The sequence below is a fragment of the Homo sapiens genome, chromosome 12 (genome assembly GCF_000001405.40).
Source record: "Homo sapiens chromosome 12, GRCh38.p14 Primary Assembly".
NCBI lineage: Eukaryota > Metazoa > Chordata > Mammalia > Primates > Hominidae > Homo > Homo sapiens.
The window spans coordinates 110,102,664-110,123,881 of NC_000012.12; the positions used below are offsets into that span (position 1 = coordinate 110,102,664).

Below are 21,218 nucleotides of genomic sequence, written 5' to 3' on the forward strand. Positions count from 1 at the left end.
GCCAGGGATGCTGCTAAAATCTTACGATGCAGGACAGCCCCACAGCAAAGAATTATTTGGCTTTTTAAAAAAGTTTTTCTTTCTCTTCTTAGGTATAGACTACCACGTAAACTGTGATTTGAAATATTGCTACTACTTGGCTGTCCCTACATCAGATTTTCATTTAAGTGGATTCCTCTGTAGTATTTCTCCTCTTCCTTCTCCTCCTTGAATCTCCCCAGTCTTTCCTTTTATAAAGTTGTTGAACCAATATCCTATTTAAAATTGTGTTTTGGGGGTAGCTGTCTTTATTACTGTCACTGTCTTATAAAACCAGAGATGACATATTTGTAAACAGAGCTTGAGAAATGAACGAGGCCCAGTGGAAGCAGAAAATTTGATGAGATTAGATTTTTTGTGAGACAGGGGTCTCGCTATGTTGCCCAGGCTGGTCTTGAACTCCTGGCTTCAAGCAATCCTTTCACCTTGGCCTTCCAAAGTGCTGGGAATCCTTGCGTGAGCCACTGCGCCTGGCCTTACCTGGCCTAAAATGTCAGCAGTGTTGGAAGGTGAGAAACCCTGGCATAGACCGATTCACTAGAGGATTCTTTCTCTACTGCAGGGCTTGGGGCTGGTATCTGCCCTCCATGAAGCACATAACTACAAGGAGGAGGGAGGACACCACACAAAATTGAGGTTCAGAGAATTTGAAAGAAGAACTTGGCGGGGGCTGGCTTTTGGGAAGGGGACCAAAAGTCTCTGAAGCCCTGATGCTGTGAATTTAGCTCCCAGCAGGCTCTAAGGAGCTCTGACACCGTGTGCCCTGCTGCTGGGAGTTAGGAATAGCACAGAATCAACACTTGGCCCTTGCCCTCACATTGCTTATAGGCCAGCTGTTTAAGCCAGACTGGCATTACTTCCTTTTTGCTATTATCGTTTATAGTGTTTCTTCATGGTAGAAAATACAGAAAGGAATACGGAAACAAAGCCAGAATCGCTCATACTCCTACCACTCAGAGAGAACCACACTAACATTTTGTTTCCTTTCAAATTTGGTACTGTTTTCTAATTATCACAATTCACACAAATTATCTCCTCATTCTTTCATTCAGTCCACAGCTATAGAGCTGAGTGCTGGTGTGTGCGGTTCAGATTCTCACTGCACTGAGAGTACCCAGAAGAACAAGTTCACTGGAGTTCAGAGCAGTTAGATGTGGGAGACTTGACTTGGGCAACCTGAATGGAGAAAGAGGGAATAAGGATGGCTTCCACAGAGCAGAAGGGCCTGCACCAGGAAGATTGCAGGTATTGTAGATATCTGGTTCTTTGACTTATTCAGCATTCATTCCTCACTTCTTTTTTTTTCCTTTTTCTTTTTCTTTTTTTTTTTTTAAGATGGAGTCTCGCTCTGTCACCCAGGCTTGAGTGCAGTGGTGAGATCTCGTTTTACTGCAACCTCCACCTCTGGGGTTCAAGTGATTCTCGTGCCTCAGCCTCCCGAGTAGCTGGGAAGGCGCGCGCCACCAGGCCCGGCTAATTTTTGAATTTTTAGTAGAGACGGGGTTTCACCATATTGGCCAGGCTGGTCTTGAACTCCTGACCTCAGGTGACCCGCCCACTTCGGCCTCCGAAAGTGCTGGGATTAAAGGCGTGAGGTACCGTTCCGGCCTCATTCCCCACTTCTGAGAAGAGCACCTGGCTTTCCTTTGGAGGAGTCATTCCTTCCCCACCATCAGCCCTCAGCTCCTGCTTGGGTGCAGCTAACCCTACCCCTCGGTTCCAGGTGGTCACATGACCCAACTCTGGTCAATCCCTCCCACCAGTGATTGGCTCACAGCTGGGCACATGACTAGATCAGGCCAATCAAGACCAAGGAGACTCTGTTCCATCTGTGGGGCCTGCCTAGAAAGGGAAACTCTCTCTCCATTGGATTTGGAGCTATAAGGATGAAGCCTGGAGCTGCTGGTGGCTGCTTTTCTATCAGGAGCAGAGAGAGGATACTGGGAAATAAAGCCAACACGGTAAAGGGAATAGCTGAGAGATGGAGGAAGTGTGACCACCCTGAGGGAAACCTTGGAGCTTCTCCAGCCAGTTGTATTGAAGTCCATGGCTTCTACGGATTTCCAGTTACGTAATCGAATCAATTGCCTTTTTTGGCTTAAGCCAGTTTCAGTTAACTTTCTGTCTTTTGCAACTGAAAGTTCAGACATACTGTTTGCTAGAGTAATGGAAAAAATGGACTCAGAGGCAAGAAGGACTTTGCTCTGACATTAACCAGCTGTGTCCTTGGGTAAAATCACTTCATCTTCCAGATTCAATTCTCTAGAATGAAGGAAATAATACGTTCCTCTTGGGTGGCTGGAAGAATTGAATGACCTCCTGTGGCTGGCAGTGCTTTGTGAACGTGAAGGGAAATATAAATGCAAGGAGTTCTTATAAATGGCAGGGATAATTTTAGGAAAGAGGTTTCAGATGAGCTTAAAAGGATGGCGGGCTCCAAGGTAAACTCAGATGCTGTAGCAACCAGGTGGTGATGGAAGCCTGTGAAGTGGTGGCAGGTATAAGGAAGTTCAGGGGCCTTTCTGGTCTACTCTTTCCTTTTCTCTTTGATACATTTGTGAGACAAAGGAGTATTACTGTAAGAAAAATGGCAGCACAAACGTGATGATCACCATCAACTGACACTGGCTTTAGGATCAGAGACAACAGGGAGTGGTGGGGACTGTGGCAGACTGGACAGTGCATGTCCCATTGTAAGCAAGCAGGCTTCCTCAGCTCCAGCCAATCTATGCCACACAGTATGGCCAGATTTGCTAATTTTTCTTTTCTTTCTTTTTTTTAATAGAAAAGTGGGAAATATCTTTTAATGTTTGAGTATTTTCTTAAAATTTTCCTTTTTTTTTCTTTTTGAGGCAGAATCTTCCTCTGTTGCCCAGGCTGGAGTGCAGTGCCATGATCTCACCTCACTGCAACCTCTGCCTCCTGGGTTCAAGCGATTCTCCTGCCTCAGCCTCCCAAGTAGCTGGGACCACAGGCACACGCCACCACACCTGGCTAATTTTTTTGTGTTTTTGGTAGAGATGGGGTTTCACCATATTGGCCAGTCTGGGCTCGAACTCCTGACCTCAAGTGATCCGCCTGCCTTGGCCTCCCAAAGTACAAGGATTACAGGTGTGAGCTACCACACCTGGCCAGATTTAACATTTTTTTGACTTAACACATTAATATAATAAAGGAATATGGCTCCCTTATTAACATAAATATAGTTTTAAAATATTCTTTTCATGAAGTTAACTGTGTTTATTTAGCCATTTTCTTAGCTTTTGCCATCATGGTTCTTGGAGAATTTTTTCTGTAATTGCTGCAGTGAGCTTGGAGATCACAGATGTATATAATTTAAATATTACTTCCTCAGGTTTATTCTTAGAAGTAGTATTACCAAATCAAAAGTTCTCAACATTTCTCAGGGTACTGCAATTTTTACATTGCATATCAAAACTGTTGTTACTGAAATCTGCATTCCTTTCATCAGTTCACAGAAATTTGCAATCACAGACATCTTTAGATCTATGTCCAGCTGCGTTCATTTCACATATTCAGAAATGAAGCCTAAAGATCTGAACCCAGAAGCCAGACCTCCAGACTGCCAGTCAGTTTCCTCCCCCATCCACTCTGATTTATTAAGCAGTTAGGCTGGCCCTTCCCGACCCTTCCTACACAGTGGCAGAGCTTTTGCTCCTCTACCCACTGGAATCTACACTGGTCCCAGCCCCTCATTCAACTCCCGTGGGACGCCAAGCAATACGGAGTTCGGAGTTTGAGAAGCACGGAAATCTCCTGAACCCCACCACGAGTCCACACTAGGCTGTGAGTCTACCACAGGGTCTCAAACCAGAAAGTGGAAAAAGTAATTTTTCAAGGCAGCCTGGAAATCCAGATTTTTATGTAAAATGCCTCAATTTTATTTATTTATTTTATTTTATTATTATTTTTTGAGATAGAGTCTCTCTCTGTCGCCCAGGCTAGAATGCAATGGCACAATCTCGGCTCACTGCAACCTCCACCTCCCAGGTTCAAGTGATTTTCCTGCCTCAGCCACCCAAGTAGCTGGGACTACAGGCACATACCACCATGCCCTGCTAATTTTTATAATTTTAGAAGAGATGAAGTTTCACCATATTGTTCAGGCTGGTCTCGAACTCCTGACCTCAGGTGATCCACCCACCCCGGCCTCCCAAAGTGCTGGGATTACAGGCGTGAACCACTGCGCCTGGCCAGAGACAGGGTTTCACCATGTTGGCCAGGCTGATCTTGAACTCCTGACCTCAGGTGATCTGCCTGCCTTGGCCTCCCAAAAATGCCTCAATTTTAAACGTTGGTTCTTTTTTAAAAATACTCTATGAGCAAAGTACAGCTTATCTATCTAATTTAGCTAGTTTGTGGTCCCCTGTGTAGGTGCAGAGATGGATCTTGGGAGAATGAGAGGGTTGCTGGCAGGGAGATGTCCTTACAAAAAACAAGAAACAAGGCAGAGGGTTCACATCCTCTTCTGAAAACAAATGTGTAGCAATTCCATAAACTTTCCTATACATTAAATCCTCACATCAACCCTGTGAGTTAGGGCAGGTTAACTCCATCATGCAAATGGGGAAACCAAGGCCAACCAGCTAACCGGTAGCCCTTCAAGTCTGTGCTCTTTACTTCCTCACTGATGGAACTCAAGTCAGAGCTGACTTTGAAGATCACTAAGAAGCTCAAGACAATGCAAGGAAAATGAACACTTTTGCTTAAAGAAGGCCAACCTGGCTTTGTTCCCCACTGCACCACTGGTAGTCTCCTAAAAAGTGCACCACTTTTTAGTCTCCTTGCCTTAAGGTGAATGTAACCAATGGGCACCACTTTGATGATGTCACAGCCATGTAGTGCACGGCTTGCATCTCCCTCTAGAGAGTCTGCACGGCCGGGTGCAGTGGCTCATGACTATAATCCCAGCACTTTGGGAGGCTGAAATCACTTGAGGATCACTTAAGGTCAGGAGATCGAGACCAGCCTGGCCAACATGATGAAACCCTGGCTCTACTAAAAAATACAAAAATTAGCCAGGCGTGGCGGCATGCGTCTGTGGTCCCAGCTACTCAGGAGGCTGAGGCATGAGAATCACTTGAACCCAGGAGGTTGAGGCTGCAGTGAGCTGTGATCATGGCACTGCATTCCAGCCTGAGTGACAGAGTGAGACCTTGTCTTAAAAAAAAAGAGAGTCTGCACGGAGAGCACAGTTGACTCACAGTCCTCATTCCCATTCCTCTGGATCCACCAAGTTCACGCCAAGGCCATATTTCCTCAGATGGCTCCTAGCCAATGACAGCACAGCGGGGGTGGTAGCACAGCCCCACTGCTGCTGACCTGAGATTCATCCTACCAGTGACTTTGTTCAGGAAGCCCTCATCAGTCCAGCCAAAACTTTCTGAGACCCGCATTGCTGTCTGCAGCTCCTCCTACTCACTCTTTCCTTCCCCGTCTCTTTCCCCAGGTGTTAGCCCAGTATCCCAGTCTGAAGACGTCCGCCCTTTATCTTTCACAGGGATTCCCTTGATAAATCCCCTGCAAGTCTGAGCCTGTCCTGGCATCTGCTTCCCAGAGGATCCAAATTAACACAGATAACTTCCATTTTGTAGGATGAGATAATGAAGTCTACAACCATCCAAACTCAAAATCATCTGTTGTCAAGGAAATACAGTTTCACATTGCAGTGGTAAGGACCATGGGCTTTGGGTAGACCAGGGTGTGAGTCCTACCCACCAGCGGTATGACCTTTAGGAAATGTCTTAGCCCGCCCTGACCCTCTATTTCCTCATCCGTGGAATCAGTGATTCTTAACTGGGAACAATTTTGTTTCCTCCGGGACAGTTTGCAATGTCTGGAGATTTTTTTGGTTGTCACAACTAGGGGGAGGGGAATGGTTGCAGCTGGCACCTAGTTGGGTAGAAGGCCAGGGACACTGCTAAATATCCTACAATGCACAGAGCAGCCCCTCCAAGACAAAGATTATCCAGCCCAAAATATCCATAGTGCAGAGGTTGGAAAACTCTGTGTTAAATGGGGATGATAATAGTAAACTAACTCAAAGAACTATTGTGAGGACTCAATGGGATCATGTGTTCAATATCCCTCGCCTTCCTTGTAAACTCCACAAGGGCAGGAACCAGATGATGTAGATCAATGTTCTGTATCATCAATGACTGGATCATAAAAGGCGCAAAGTAAATTATTAATTGTTGAAATATTTATCAAATGAGTGCAAATCAACAAATGCTAATTGTCATCATCATCGTCACCATTGCCATCTTTCCAGCCCCTGGCTCAGTGCCTGAGGCGTAACAGGTCCTCAATCTTTGTTGAATGAATGCATGAGAAATGAAGGATTATTTACTCATTAACTACTAATCTGTGTGCTTTGGAGAGATATTGGAAACTCTTGAGAAATAGGCCTGGCCTTTTCCTTTTTATTTGCAACGAGGAATTTTGTTCGTCAAATAAATGACCTTAAAGGATTGAGACCGCTGCCAAGCCACAGAATCGGAGTCGAGAGGCCTGACTCAGAGTCACGGAGAGGTTAGGACACACATCTTGCAGGGCTTAGGCAAAAAAGGAAAATGGGCCAGGCTTTGTGCGAACTTGCTGTGAAACAAGAGCTGTTTTCAGGGCTCAGGGACAAGCTCTGTCCCATGTTTAATTTCTTCCATCTGTCTGGTATCTGACCTCTGCTGCCCTTTAAGCCATTGCCACATATTGTCTGCACACGTTCCCATATAAGGTGATCTCTCTCTCTCTCTTTCTCTTCCCTCTCCTCTCCTCTCTCTCTCTCTCTCTCTCTCTCTCTTTTCCTCTCCCTCTCTCCGGGTAGCAACACTGACTTCCTCCACCCTGTTCGCCCTCTCTCTGCCTTCCCTGGCAGACTCTGCTGTGAGGATGGATGGCTGGAGAGCAGGAAGGGGCAGGGGGCTGCCAAGGAATGTAACAGGTTTATTTTTGTTCAGGCTGCATTCTTTGCCCAGCCTGCACGCCCCAGCCACTTGGGAATGTCACATGCCGATAAGACAGTGGGGGTGACTGGGATCTGTGGCTCAAATCTGCAACACCCCAGGTGTGAGCCATTGTCACAGAGTCGGGGAACTAAGGGTGGGAGGGGCAGGGACTCTGAGGTCATGGGACTCACCTGTTCCCACTGCCCTGTGTCTGACTCCTAGAAAGACAAGTTTGGTCCTTCAGGGAAACAATTGCAGAAATTGAGATCCATAACCACCTAAGCCCATCTCTGGGCAAAATTCAACATCTACAGGAGAGTGGAGAAGAGCCAGGTGTCAGGGTGAAATTAACAGCTGTGTGACCTTGGGCAAGTTGCCTGACGTCTCTGACTCTCAGTTTCCTTCTTTGTCAAAATAGTATCAGTGAATCTGTTCTCTACTATATGGTGAAAATACACTCACTGAGGGCAGGTATTATTGTCTATTTTGTTTCCTGTTGTTTCACCATCACCTCAAATAGTGCCTGGCACACAGTAGGTGCTCAAATATATGTTGAGTAAATTAAATGAGATAATGTTTTAAGTGCTCAGCACCCAAGAAATAAGAGCTGATTCAACAACACCCTACTCAATGACTACAGATATTTATTAAGCACCTCTTAACAGCCAGACCCTATTAGGTGCTGAGGACACAGGACTAATAGGACAGACAAGGCCCCTGCCCTCAGGGAACTTACATTTGAATGGCAGAGATCTATAATAAAATAAGCTAAGGTCAGAGAGTACTAAGGGCTATGAAAGAAATTTTTTTTTTTGAAACAGAGTTTCACTCTTGTTGCCCAGGCTGGAGTGTAATGGCGTGATCTCTGGCTCACTGCAACCTCCGCCTCCTGGGTTCAAGCAATTCTCCTGCCTCAGCCTCCCGAGCAGCTGGGATTACAGGCATGTGCCACCACACCCGGCTAATTTTGTATTTTTAGTAGAGACGGGGTTTCTCCATGTTGGTCAGGGTGGTCTTGAACTCCCAACCTCAGGTGATCCGCATGCCTTGGCCTCCCAAAGTGCTGGGATTACAGGCGTGAGCCACCGCCCTCGGCTGAAATAAATTTTTTAAAGGATATAGAAGTGTGTTTTTCCAGCCTTTTGACTTTGACTCACAGCAAGAGATATGTTTATCATGTGAACCAATGCGCACACATGCATGTTTATTAAAAGGGAAAAAACAACTGTGGTGGACTGTCTGCACCAACATCTGCCAACAACTTCTCCCATTCATAGAATGCACATGTTGCTCCCCCATCAAGAGGCGGAGTTAAGGCTGGGCGTGGTGGCTCATGCCTATAATCCCAGCACTTTGGGAGGCTGAGGAGGGTGGATTACTTGAGGTTAGGAATTTGAGACCAGCCTGGCCAACATGGTGAAAGCCCTGTCTCTACTAAAAATACAAAAATTAGCCAGGTGTGGTGGCACATGCTTGTAATCCCAGCTACCTGGGAGGCTGAGGCAGGAGAATCTCTTGAACCTGGGAGGTAAAGTTGCAGTGAGCTGACATTGCACTACTGTACTCCAGCCTGGCTGACAGAGCAAGACTCCATCTCAGAAAGAAAAAGAAAAAGAAGTGGAGTCAAGACCCAGTGCAGAGGCTCACACCTATAAACCGAGCGGGAGGCCAAGGCTGGAGGATTGCTTGAGGCCAGGAGTTTGATACCCACCTGGGTAACATAGTGAACCTCCATCTCTACAAAAAAAAAAAAAAAAAAAAAAAAAGAGGTGGAGCCAGCTTCCCCTTCCCTGTTTTTGTTATTTGTTTGTTTTAGAGACAGAGTCTCAGTCACTCAGGCTGGAGTGCAGTGGTATGATCAAACTCATTGAAGCCTTGAACTCCTAGGCTCAAGTGATCCTCCTGAAACTGGCCCAACACTCCCATACACTGTTCTTTTGGATAAACATAGACATTGACCCTTCTGCTATTAAAGCTGTATTTGTTTTATCTGAGGACCTTCAGGCCTCTCAAAAACAAGTACTGAAGCACTGAAACTCACCAGATCAGGGCATCAGATGACTTCCTGCCCTTCCCTAGTTCTTGTTTTCCCGCATGTTGTTACATTTCTTCCCCACTATATAAACTCCTAATTTTAGTAGACCAGGGAGTTGGATTTGAGACTCAGCTCCCATCACTTCAGCTGCAGCACCCAATTAAAGCCTTCTTCCTTGGCAATACTTGTCCTGTCAGTGATTGGCTTTCTGTGTGGCAAGCAGCAGGACCTAGTCTGAACCCCTGGTGTTTTGGTAACACTCCTGCCTCAGCCTCCCGAGTAGGTAGGACTACAGGCATGCAGCACCACGCCAGCTGATTTTTTCATTTTTTTGTAGAGTTGGGGTCTCACTATGTTGAGTTCAAACTCCTGGGCTCAAGCTGTCCTCCTGCCTCAGCTTCCCAAGGTACTGGGACTATAGGCATGAGCCACCACACCCAGCCTCTCCCTTCCCTTAAATCTGGGTGGCTCTTGTGATTTGCTTTGGGCAATAGGATGCAGCGGAAACAACTTTGTGCCTTTTCTGGGCTTCAGCCTTAAGGGGACTGGCAGCTTCCACTTTTGTGCTCTTTGTACCCAGAACCATGAAAGGAAGCTCAGGTCAGACAACTGAATGATGAGAGGCCACAAGAGAAGGAGAGCTTCCATGTGAAGAAGTGGCCACCAACACTAACATCCAGATCCAAGAGGGATGCCACCTTGGATGTTCTAGCCCCACACGGACCTCCAGCTGGATTCAGCCGTATGAGTGATCCCAGCAGATACCACATGGAGCAGAACCGCCCAGCTGAGCCCAGCTAACCCACAGACTTGTGGGAAAAAACGGTTGCATATCAATAAATTTGGAGTGGTTTATTAAGAAGCAAAAAATAGGCTGGGCGTGGTGGCTCATGCCTGTAATCCCAGCATTTTAGGAGGCCGAGGCAGGCAGATCATTTGAAGTCAAGAGTTCCAGACCAGCCTGGACAACATGGCGAAACCCCCATCTCTACTAAAAATACAAAAAAGTTAGCTGGGCATGGTGGCTCGTGCCTGTAATCCCAGCTACTCGGGAGGTTGAGGCAGGAGACTCGCTGAACCAGGGAGGTGGAGGCTGCAGTGATCTGAGATTGCACCACTGCACTCCAGCCTGGGCCACAGAGGGAAACTCCGTCTCAAAAAAAAAAAAAAAAAGTAAAAAAATTTCTGACACAGTAATATTTACCCTTATCCTTGTGTGATATTTTCTGTTTTATTTCATTTCATTTTTTAAAATGTTAATTGAGATCCACTAAATTGATTTCCATTCCCTCTAATAGGCCATGACCAACAGTCTGAAGAGCACAGTGATGGAGGGTGACTGGTGGGTTGGTTACTTTAAGTAAGAGGAACAGAAAAGACCTTGCTGGCTGGGCATGGTGTCCCATGCCTATAATCCCAGAGCTTTGGGAGGCCAAGGCAGGAGGATCATTTGAGCCCAAGAGTTTGAGACTAGCCTGGGCAACGTAGCGGGACCATGTTTCTACAAAAAATTAAAAATTAGCTGGGCATGGTGGTGGGTGTAGTCTCAGCTACTCAGGAGGTTGAGGAGGATCACTTGAGTCCAGGAGGTCGAGGCTGCAGTGAGCCATGATCATGCCACTGCACTCCAGCTTGGACGAGACCCTGTCTCAAAAAAAAAAAAAAAAAAAAAAGAAAGAAAGAAAGAAGGAAAGAAAAGGGAGGAAAGAGAGAGAGGAAGGAAGGAAGGGAGGGACGGGAAGGAAGGGAATTTTTTTTTCCAAAAAAAAAAATATAATTGAGATGAGAGTCACATAACATAAAACCAACCATTTTAAAAGGAACAATTCCATGGTAATTAGTACATTAACATATATCGTACAACCACCTCTGTCTATTTCCAGAACATTTTCATCACCTCAAAAGGAAATGCTTTTTTTTTTTTTTTTTTTTTTTTTTTTTTGAGACAGAGTGTTGCTCTGTCACCCAGGCTGGAGTGCAGTAGTGCGATCTGGGCTCACTGTAACCTCCACCTCCTGGGTTCAAGCGATTCTTCTGCCTCAGCCTCCCACGTAGCTGGGATTATGGGCCTGCACCACCGCACCTGGCTATTTTTTTGTACTTTTAGTAGAGACAGGGTTTTGCCATGTTGGCCAGGTTGGTCTTGAACTCCTGACCTCAAGTGATCTGCCCACCTTGGCCTCCCAAAATGCTGGGATTACAGGCGTGAGCCACTGTGCCCGGCCTCAAAAGGAAATTCTGTACCGATTAAGCACTTGCTTTGCATTCTCCCCTCTGCCTGGCCCCTGGCAACCACCAGTCCACATTCTGTCTCTAGGGATTTGCCTATTCTGAGTATTTCATATAACAGGAGTCATACAACGGGTGGCCTTTTGCATTTGGCTTGTTTTGCTCAGCACCATGTTTTTGAGGTTCATATATGCTATAGCATGGACCAGTACTTCATTTCTTTTTATGGCTGAATAATATTCTACTGTATGTATATACCACAGTTTGCTTATTCATTCACCCATTTGCCCATCATTTTGAGTCGATCATTTCATCTGTAGCACTCTCATAGACCTCGATTTGACGTCATCAGCCCCAGGAGGATGAGGTGGTCTTGGCAACATGAAAGACAAAGCCAGTTTGTGCCCTGCTGCTCTTGTCCGCTTCCACCAAACTTCTCCTGCATGATTCTCAGCTTCCTGATAGCCCAAAATGCAGCTCCACTGCCGGTTACCCTTAAATACTCCCCCTGAACTCTATAAATACACCAAACATTCAGCTGGGAAAAAAAGAAACTTGAAAGGCATCTGAAATGAAAATACACTTTTTTTCCCAGCATTGGCCAAGTGTTTTCTCTCCATCTTCCCCCTCTTTGATTTTGGGATAAGCGCTTGGATTTCAAACCATTAGCTATACCTGGGTGTGAGAAGAGCTTCCTTGGCAAAGCCCTTGTAGGCACAGAAGTCCAGGCACTGTGTTGATGTGGTCCCTCCCACACAGAAAATCCCTGTGCCTCCCACCTCAGCAGCCTGATTTATGGTTCTTTCGGTCTCTGCTGGGCCAGTTTGGAGCCAGTTTAGGAGGCTGATGAAAATGGCTTTGGAATCAGGCAGACCTATGTTTGAATCTTGGCTCAGCCAGCTACCAGCTCTGCGACCTTGGGCCTCTGTTAACTCTCTAGGTCTCAATTTCCTTAATCATAAAGTGGAAAAAAATAATACTGTGGCTGGGTGTGGTGGCTCACGCCTATAATCCCAGCCTCTTGGGAGGCCAAGGCGGGAGAATTGCTTGAGCCCAGGAGTTCAAGACCAGCTTGGGCAATGTAGTGAGACCCTGTCTCTAAAGAAAAATGCAAAAATTAGCCAGGCATGGTGGTTCTCGCTTGTAGTCCCAGCTACTCAGGAGGCTGAGGCAGGAGGATCTCTTGAGCCCAGGAGGTTGAGGCTGCAGTGAGCCATGATCACACCACTGCACTCCAGCCTGGGTGACAAAGTTAGACTGTCTAAAAAAAGAAAAACAAAAAACTGTCCTTGCAGACTTGTTGTGAAGATTAAATGAGATTATGTAGGTGCAGGCAGTGTGCCGAAATGAAATTAGGCCTAACTCACATAATGCCTGGAACTTCAGCTAGAAGAGAGAAGTGCAGCTTGGAAGACATGGGGCTGGATTCACTGACCCCACAAGGCCTGACTGCCCATCATTTTGATTGTGTAATTTTATCTATAAAGTCAGTCTGCCCCTCCGGATCCACATTGCTGTGGATTAAATTAAAAAAAAATTTTTTTTGAGACAGAGTCTCACTCTGTCACCCAGGCTGGAGTGCAGTGGTGCAATCTTGGCTCATTGCAACCTCCATCTCCTGGGCTCAAGCGATTTTCATGCCTCAGCCTCCCAAGTAGCTGGGATTACAGGCACATACCACCACACCCAGCTAATTTTTGTATTTTAGTAGAAACAGGGTTTCACCACGTTGGCCAGGCTGGTTTTGAACTCCTTACCTCAAGTGATCTGCCCACCTCAGCATCCCAAAGTTCTGGGATTACAGATGTGAGCCACCGCGCCCAGCCCCACTGTTGCCATCTTCCTCCCCCTCTTTGTCCAGGGAGGCGCATCTGCATGGATGACCTCAGGGGAGCTCCCTTTCCCTTTGGCTCTCTGTTGGGTTTAGCTAGTGAGGAGCCAAGCAAGAAGAGATCAGAGGATAGGACAGTGGGATTGGGACTGGCTGCGTCAGAGGCTCTTGTTAGGCAACTGTCTCTGTAGGGCTGATCTGTCAGGCTTTTTGTGTTTGTCCTCTTCTCTTCCTGCTTCAGGCTTAGGGGCAGCAATGGCTGCCTTTGGTGCTGGTCTCTTGGTTGCCCTAAATGCTGTCCACACCTTTATAAATAGCCCTTTATTAAGCTATCCTCAATTGCCCAGAGTTTGCCATCTTTATCCTGCCAGGATGCTAACTAATACAGAAGTTATCAGTTTTAGTCCACGACTCAGATTTGCAGGAGGAAGGACATTGTTTTATAACCAACTGAAATCCAATTCTGAGCCCCCATTCTGCTAGGTTGGAGAGAAATGTAATCTTGTTTTGAGCATCCCCCCTCCCCCAACACACATCCTAGGGGATACCAAGTCCCGGGGCTCTTTTGCAGTGATGTAGCTTTGGGCAACACCTGCAGTCTTCTGTCAGTGGCCCACCCTAGTGACTGCTTGGTCACCCATCCTCCCAGGCTACAGGTCCTTTCAGGTCCAATAGCATTGATCCTTCCATGTCAGGCCTGAGACAAAGAAAGCTTTGGTCAGACTGGAAGGCACTGGACTTGTGGTGTGGCCTCCTTAGGGTATTTCTCCCTTCCCAGAAGCTGCTCTGGACTTATCAACTTGTGACCCTTCCCACTCTCCATAACATCTGTCTTTTCTCTTCTTACTCTTGTTTTGTCTCATTTTGTTTTGTTCTGTTTTGTGTTGTTTTGAGACAGGGTCTCCCTCTGTTGCCCAGGCTGAAGTGCAGTGGCACAATCCTGGCTCACTGCAGCCGCAACTTCCTAGGCTCAAGACATCCTCCAGCCTCAGCCTCCCCAGTAGCTGAGACTATAGGTGCACGCCACCACGCCTGGCTAACTTTTTATTTTTTATAGAGATAAGGGTCTCACTATGTTGCCCAGGCTGGTCTCGAACCCTTGGACTCAAGTGATCCTCCCACCTTGGTCTCCCAAAGTGCTGAAATTATAGGCCTCGACCTCCGCACCTGGCCCCACCTTACCCTTGAAGGAACCCCCCTCTCCACTCCCCGCCTGAGGACAACCAGTACAATTTCCCCTAAACACTTCAATTCTTCACACGCCTACAGGGTCTGTAGGAAGTACAGATGTACTGGGCAAAGTACAGCTGGATTTTCAACCTGCAGAAGTCAAGACAATAAAAATTCTTTCAAGAGGATGGGAAACAGAAGGGGTACACACATAAATTAAAATTTGAATAAATTCTGACACATATTTGAAGTATTTAGCAAAGTTCCTGACATATAGTAAGCACTCAATAAGTGATGATATAATGATAATTTCAGCCCACTAAGAATGTTAGGTGCATCCTGGCTAGGCACGGTGGCTCACACCTGTAATCTCAGCACTTTGGGAGGCCAAGGTGGGCGGCTCACTTGAGGTCAGGAGTTTGAGACCAGCCTGAGCAACATAGTGAGACCTCATCTCTAAAAAAAAAAAAAAAAAAAAAAAAAAAAAATTAGCTGGATATGGTGGCGCCACCTGTAGTCCCAACTTTTCGGGAGGCTGAGGCCGGGAGGTACAGGCTGCAGTGAGTTATGATCACGCCACTGCATTCCAGCGTGGGTGACAGAGTGACATCGTGTCACTGAAAAAAAAAAGTTAGATGCATCCTATATTTCAATCCATACTGATGACTAAGGAGTTAATATGAATTGCGTATTATTTTGGCTATTCTACATTGCCCATTAATCTCATCAGCAATTTCCAGCCTTTGTGAACCATAGCACATTTATAAATACAAAACCCATTTTATAAAAGCCATCTGAGAAAAATATAGTACCAGGCACACATTTAAGAAGACCTCTGGAATCTCATCCATTTAAGTTGAGTATTTCACATATTATTTATCTTTTTACCTTTTAAGAAAGCACATTCTGCTACTAAACATACCCACAAGATTAAATTGTCAGAACAGAGACAATTTAGGATATCTGCAAAATGCAATTCAGGTTTCCGTTCAAATTTAATTTCTTTCCTCTCCAAGTAACCTGGATGGCAAAGGCATTAAATGACAATTAATGGATAACAGAATAACCCTCTTCTGAATTTGTTTCTGCGTCTGGGTCATTTTTCCCAGTTTTAAAAGAATGAGATAAAGTGGGCAGCCTGCAGAATAGCCCCAGATGGGATAGCATCTTGAATCCTGGCACTCGCTGAATACTCGTGCAGAATCCAGAAATATCTCATGGTCAGGATGAAAGGTCTAAATTTAATACCAAAAACAGAAAATTGGCTTGGCTTCCCTGTACTCTGCACAGGAAAGTTCTTGTTTGGAAGTTCTGAAATGAGAAGGGATTGGAGACATTATATTCATGGCCATCCTCAGATGTTTGTGGGGGATCCGGAGAGGTCTGCTGGGTTATCCCAAGACCTTGTTTGGCCCACAGTGGAAGACCACATTGAAGAAAGATAATTCGTGGAAGGAAATCAGGGAGAAGGTTCTCATTGATACAGATGCTCTCTGCCACGAGTGCAGGCTCATTCCTTCCTCTTCCGGTTTTTCTTATGCAGCTTTCCAGATTTACCAGCCTTCCCTGACCACCTGGTCTTCCCTGATCTACTGGTCTTGTTTGCATAGCATCTCTATCTCTGATAAGAGGATCCAGCACTTCCTTTGGGTCTGACACACTTCAGACCAATGAGAGTGAGCCCTGGAAATTTGCTGAAACTATTGGATTAAAAGTTCTACTTTTTTTCTTTTTCTTTTCTTTTTCTTTTTTTTTTTTTTTTATTTGAGACAGGATCTCACTCTCTCACCCAGGCTGGAATGCAGCAGTAAGATCTCAGCTCACTGCAACCTCCGCCTCCTGGGTTCAGGCGATTCTCCTGCCTCAGCCTCCCAAGTAGCTGGGATTACAGGCACCTGCCACCACGCCCAGCTAATTTTTGTATTTTTTTTGTAGAGACAGGGTTTTACCATGTTGGCCAGGGTGGTCTCGAACCGCTGACCTCAAGTGATCCTCCTGCCTTGGCCTCTTAAAGTGCTGGGATTACAGGCATGAGCCATTGTGCCCAGCCTAAATGTCTCTTTCTAAGAAGCTGGAATTGTCAGCCTCTTTTTTTCACTTCTCAGCTTCCTCAGACCTTGGGGGTAGGTTTGCATAGGCCTGCTCACCTCAGAACAACTTCACAATTACATGAGATAAAACCTCTTCTCTTTATTTTTTATCTTATAACTAAACTGAGGCTTGAAAAATACACTTTACCAGGAGTAATTTTCCCCCTCTGAATAATCGGACCAAAGGTTCAAAACTGTGGATACCCCTTATTATCTACGCAGTTAAATAAGGAGATAAGAAGGGGCAGCTTCAAGTCTTTCTCACCTCCTCCTCACCTTGCCTCACCCTCTCCTCCAGTGGAAGATGGTGAACATTTGAAGCCCATCCATGTAAGCAGCATCTTCTTATCAGATGGCTTCTGGTGAGAAACAGATTGGGAATTCTAGTGCTTTGGTAGCAAGGGATGAGTAGGTTTCAGTAACAGGTCCGTTATAACCAAAAACTACTAAAGGCTCCACATCTTGGGTCCTGTAATCTACAACCATGGGTACCCAACAGGCCAAAAATTAACAAAAGTTGAAAGGAAGAGACACTGTAAGAATGAATCCTCTCTCCCGTCCTGCTGATGTATATACCCTGTCACCTGACCTAGGCAATGGAATCCTTATTCATAAGGGGGCGAAAGTGTGTATACAAATGTTCATAGCAGATTATTCATAGTAGCAAAAAAGTGGAACCAACTCAAATGTTCAGGAATAGAAAATGCGTAAAGAAAATGTGGTCTATCCATAGAATGGAATTATTTGGCAATAAAAGGGAATGACGGGCTGGGCATGGTGGCTCACACCTGTAATCCCAGCACTTCGGGAGGCTGAGGTGGGTGGATCACTTGAAGCTAGGAGTTCAAGACCAGCCTGGTCAACATGGCAAAACCCCGTATCAACTAAAAATACAAAAAATTAGCCAGGCGTGGTGGCGCACACCTGTAGTCCCAGCTACTCAGGAGGCTGAGGCAGGAGAATCGCTTGAACTCGGGAGGTTTGAACCCAGGAGGCAGTGGTTGCAGTGAGCCAAGATCATGCCACCGCACTCCAGCCTGGGAGACAGAGGGAGACTCCACCTTAAAAAACAACAACAACAACAACAACAAACAAAAAAACAAAAACGGGAACGGGAATGATGTATTGATCCATGTTACTACATGGATGAATCTTAAAAACATTATATACTAAGCAAAAGAAGTCAGACACAAAAGATCACATTTTGTGTGATTTCATTTATATGAAATGTCCAGAAAAGGCCAGTCCATAGAGATGGAAAATAAATTAGTGGTTGCCTGGGGCTGTGAAGTGGGGAGATTTTCATTGTGAGGGTGATGGCTGAAGGGTACAGGGTTTCTTTTTGGTGTAATAAAAATGTCCTGGGATTAGATAGTGGTGATGATTGCATAACTTTGTGAATATGCTAAAAGCCATTGAATTGTACACCTTTTTTTTTTTTTTTTTTTTTTTGAGGCGGAGTCTCACTCTGTTTCCCAGGCTTGAGTGCAGTGATGTGATCTCGGCTCACTGCAACCTCTGCCTCCTGGGCTCAAGCGATTCTCCTGTCTCAGCTTCTTGAGTATCTGGGATTACAGATGCCCACCACCATGTCTGGCTAATTTTTTTTTTTTTTTTTTTTTGTATTTTCAGTAGAGACGGGATTTCCGCATATTGGCCAGGGTGGTCTCGAACTCCTGGCCTCAGGTGATCTGCCCGCCTCAGCCTCCCAAAGTGCTGGGATTACAGGCGTGAGCCACCATGCCCAGCCTGAATTGTACACTTTAAATGGGTGAATTGTATGTATGTGAATTATATCTTAATAGAGCTGTTTCAAAAAGAGAGTAAGGAAGGAGTGGGAAGCTTTCAGAAAGGCTGTCACATATGGCTGGAACTTCCCTCCCTCTATTAAAAATGTCAAATATAGTTCAGCCAAAAGGCATTGTTGGGAGCTTACAGAGAAGACTCAACATAGCATCTAAGGAGGAAAAAAAAAGGCTTCACGGGTAGCTCAGCTGGGAGGAGATCAGCAATGCCTCTGTTGTTGTGAAATTGTTGCTGACAATTCCCTCTTAGACTCTTCAACGAATCCACCCAAGGTTTTATGTTAAATGAATCAGGCGGCTGGGCGCGGTGGCTCACACCTGTAATCCCAGCACTTTAGGGAGGCTGAGACAGGAGAATTGCTTGAGCCCAGGAGGCGGAGGCTGCAGTGAGCCGAGATTGCGCCATTGCACTCCAGCCTGGGTGACAAAGTGAGACTCCATCTCCAAACACAAACACACACACACACACACACACACACACACACACACACACACACACACACAGAATCAGGGGGTGGTAGCCAATCTTCCTTTGGCCTCGGGGACCCAATATATGCAGTTCTCTTTTTTACTGTAAGTCGGAACATAAATTTTTCAATATACAGATTCCAGGAAGCATGCTGACTGGCTTCAAGTTCTTCCCCGTGTTCCAGAGCAACCATATTAAGCATAAAATCTATTCAAGTTTGAGTCCAAAGAGTGGATCCTCTTGCTTATTTGAATTTATACAGGATTGCAGTCTCATAACTGAAAGGTATAGTGTTTGTAGACCAGGGGCAACAGAGAGAGGAGGAACTAAAAGCTATTAGATAAACCACTCCTATCTAGGATTTCTATAGCCTATACCCATAAACCCTATAGAAGGTGCAAATCTAACCATCTTTTTTTTTTCTTTTTTCTTTTCTTTACTTTTTCTTTTTTCTTTTCTTTTCTTTTTTTTTTTTTTTTTGAGACAGAGTCTCACTCTGTTGCCCAGGCTGGAGTGCAATGGCGTGATCTTCGCTCACTGCAACCTCTGCCTCCCAAGTTCAAGTGATTCTCCTGCCTCAGCCTCCCACGTAGCTGGGATTACAGGCATGCACCACCGCACCCAGTTAATTTTTGTATTTTTGATAGAGATGAGGTTTCACCTTGTTGGCCAGGCTGGTCTTGAACTCCTGACCTCAAGTGATCGGCCCATCTCAGCCTCCCAAAGTGCTGGGATTACAGGCATGAGCCATTGTGTCTGGCAAACCATCTTATTTTTAAAGTTTTATTCAAAAAATTCTTTTACTTCTTTTTTTTTTCTTTTTTCTTTTCTTTTTTTAAAGATGGGGTCTCACTGTTGCTCAGGCTGGACTTGAACTCCTGGGCTAAGACTGTCCTCCCACCTCAGCCTCCCAAAGTGCTGAGATTACAGGCATGAGCCACCATGTACATGCCTCATTTTTTTAAAAAGAAAAAACATAAATGTCTTCAGTGCCTCCCAATGTTGGGCACTGTTGTAATCACTTTACCTGTATCAACTCCCTTAATCCTCATGTCAACCCTATTGAGGAAGGTTTTATTATAGCCACGTTTTACAGATGAGGAAAGTTTAGCAAGATAAAGAGAGGGTACACAATGGCAGATGCAGAATTCAAACCCAGGTAGCCAGGGATGTCTCCTAACACACCCAACAGGATCAATGAATTATATAATCCCTTCTACAAATCTTGTATTGTTTCTGTCAGTATTATGTAAGTTATTTAATTCTTTGAGGTTTTGAGTGTTGCTTCCCCTAATTGGTTGTGGGGTGGGGCCAGTTTTAGTTTCTCTCCAGGAGCCCTGCAGGGTACCTACGCTTGATATTTCAACAGTCAGAGGGCAGCCAACAAAGGGACTGGTCTTGGAATGTTGTGTTGCCTCTGCCCAAAACACTCTCCCTTTTCCTGTTTGGCTAATTTTTACTGATCCTTTTTAAGAGATGGGGGTCTCCTTCTGTTGCCCAGCCTGGAGTGCAATGGTGCCACCCCTGACCAATTTTTGCTTTTAATTTTTTGTAGAGAAAGGGTCTTGCTCTGTTACCCAGGCTGATCCTGAACTCCTGGGCTCAAAGTTATCTTGTTGCCTTGGTCTCTCAAAGTGCTGAGATTACAGGCGTGAGCCACGGTGCCAGGCCTAATTTTTACTGATCCTTAAACATCACTCCATTTGACAGAAACTTTCCTGATGGTATGGCCCCTTTGGCACCACCCTCCCCAAATAAACTTGAGGCCCTTAATCTGGGCTCCTAATCATTGGCTTCTCTTGTTACAGCATTTATCTCAATTGTATTGGTGTTGCCCCTTTAATAATCTCTGCCGGCACTAGACTGTCAGCTCCATCAGGGCAGGGGCCAGGTAAGTCCTGCCCTTCTGCATTTCCAGCAGCCTGTACAGTACAGGGCATATAGGAAATGCCTAATACGTAATCTGTTATTTTTTGTTGTGGTAAGTCTGATGCTAAAGCTATAGTTGGTTTCTCCTATGCTGTTTGAGCAGGCAACTAAGTTTTCAAGGTATCAATAATTTGATTTTTTTTCCTTCTCTTTCTTTCATTGCCAGCTGATATCACTAAGTATCGTGGTCTCTAGTCTAATAGAGGTTGGTTCAAAATACCATTTGCCAACTAAGGTCTCCCACAAACCAGCTAGTGCAAATTCCAGTAGACTTTTAAACCTCATCAGTGACTGGGCACAAAGATCTCCCTGCGTCCTGCGTGGGATGTGAACTCCATGAAGACCACAAGGAGGATTTAATTTATTTCTGCAGTCACCTAAAGAGAGCCCACTCAGAAGCCAAAGGAACATTAGGACACTTAGTTCTCCCACACCCCCTTTCAGGCTCTCAGCATACTCAAAACGTATTGGGTTTAAAAAAATTTAATTCCCAGTACAGGCAATGTGGCCCAGTAATGTGACACAGAAGCTGAAATCTCTATGATGAATGTGTCTTCTTTTAATCCTGCCAGAGCCTCACTACAATTGTTCCTATGCATAACCTAATTTGGAGATACTTATGTCAAAAACCTAAATTTGAAGCACTGGCCAAATGC

At 45.4% G+C, this 21,218-nt stretch overlaps 3 annotated features.

Annotated features, from left to right (window-relative positions):
* Positions 6,309-6,900: an enhancer, noted in NCBI's record as "H3K27ac-H3K4me1 hESC enhancer chr12:110546777-110547368 (GRCh37/hg19 assembly coordinates)". NCBI's record gives its function as "activates a minimal SCP1, AML or CMV promoter by ChIP-STARR-seq in primed H9 embryonic stem cells {active_cell/tissue: H9 hESC(primed)}" and the evidence as "EXISTENCE:reporter gene assay evidence [ECO:0000049][PMID:30033119]".
* Positions 6,901-7,492: an enhancer, noted in NCBI's record as "H3K27ac-H3K4me1 hESC enhancer chr12:110547369-110547960 (GRCh37/hg19 assembly coordinates)". NCBI's record gives its function as "activates a minimal SCP1, AML or CMV promoter by ChIP-STARR-seq in primed H9 embryonic stem cells {active_cell/tissue: H9 hESC(primed)}" and the evidence as "EXISTENCE:reporter gene assay evidence [ECO:0000049][PMID:30033119]".
* Positions 15,721-15,992: a transcriptional cis regulatory region, noted in NCBI's record as "candidate enhancer chr12.3595 targeted for multiplex CRISPR interference". NCBI's record gives its function as "positively regulates C12orf76 gene expression with high confidence in K562 cells {active_cell/tissue: K562}" and the evidence as "EXISTENCE:mutant phenotype evidence [ECO:0000015][PMID:30612741]".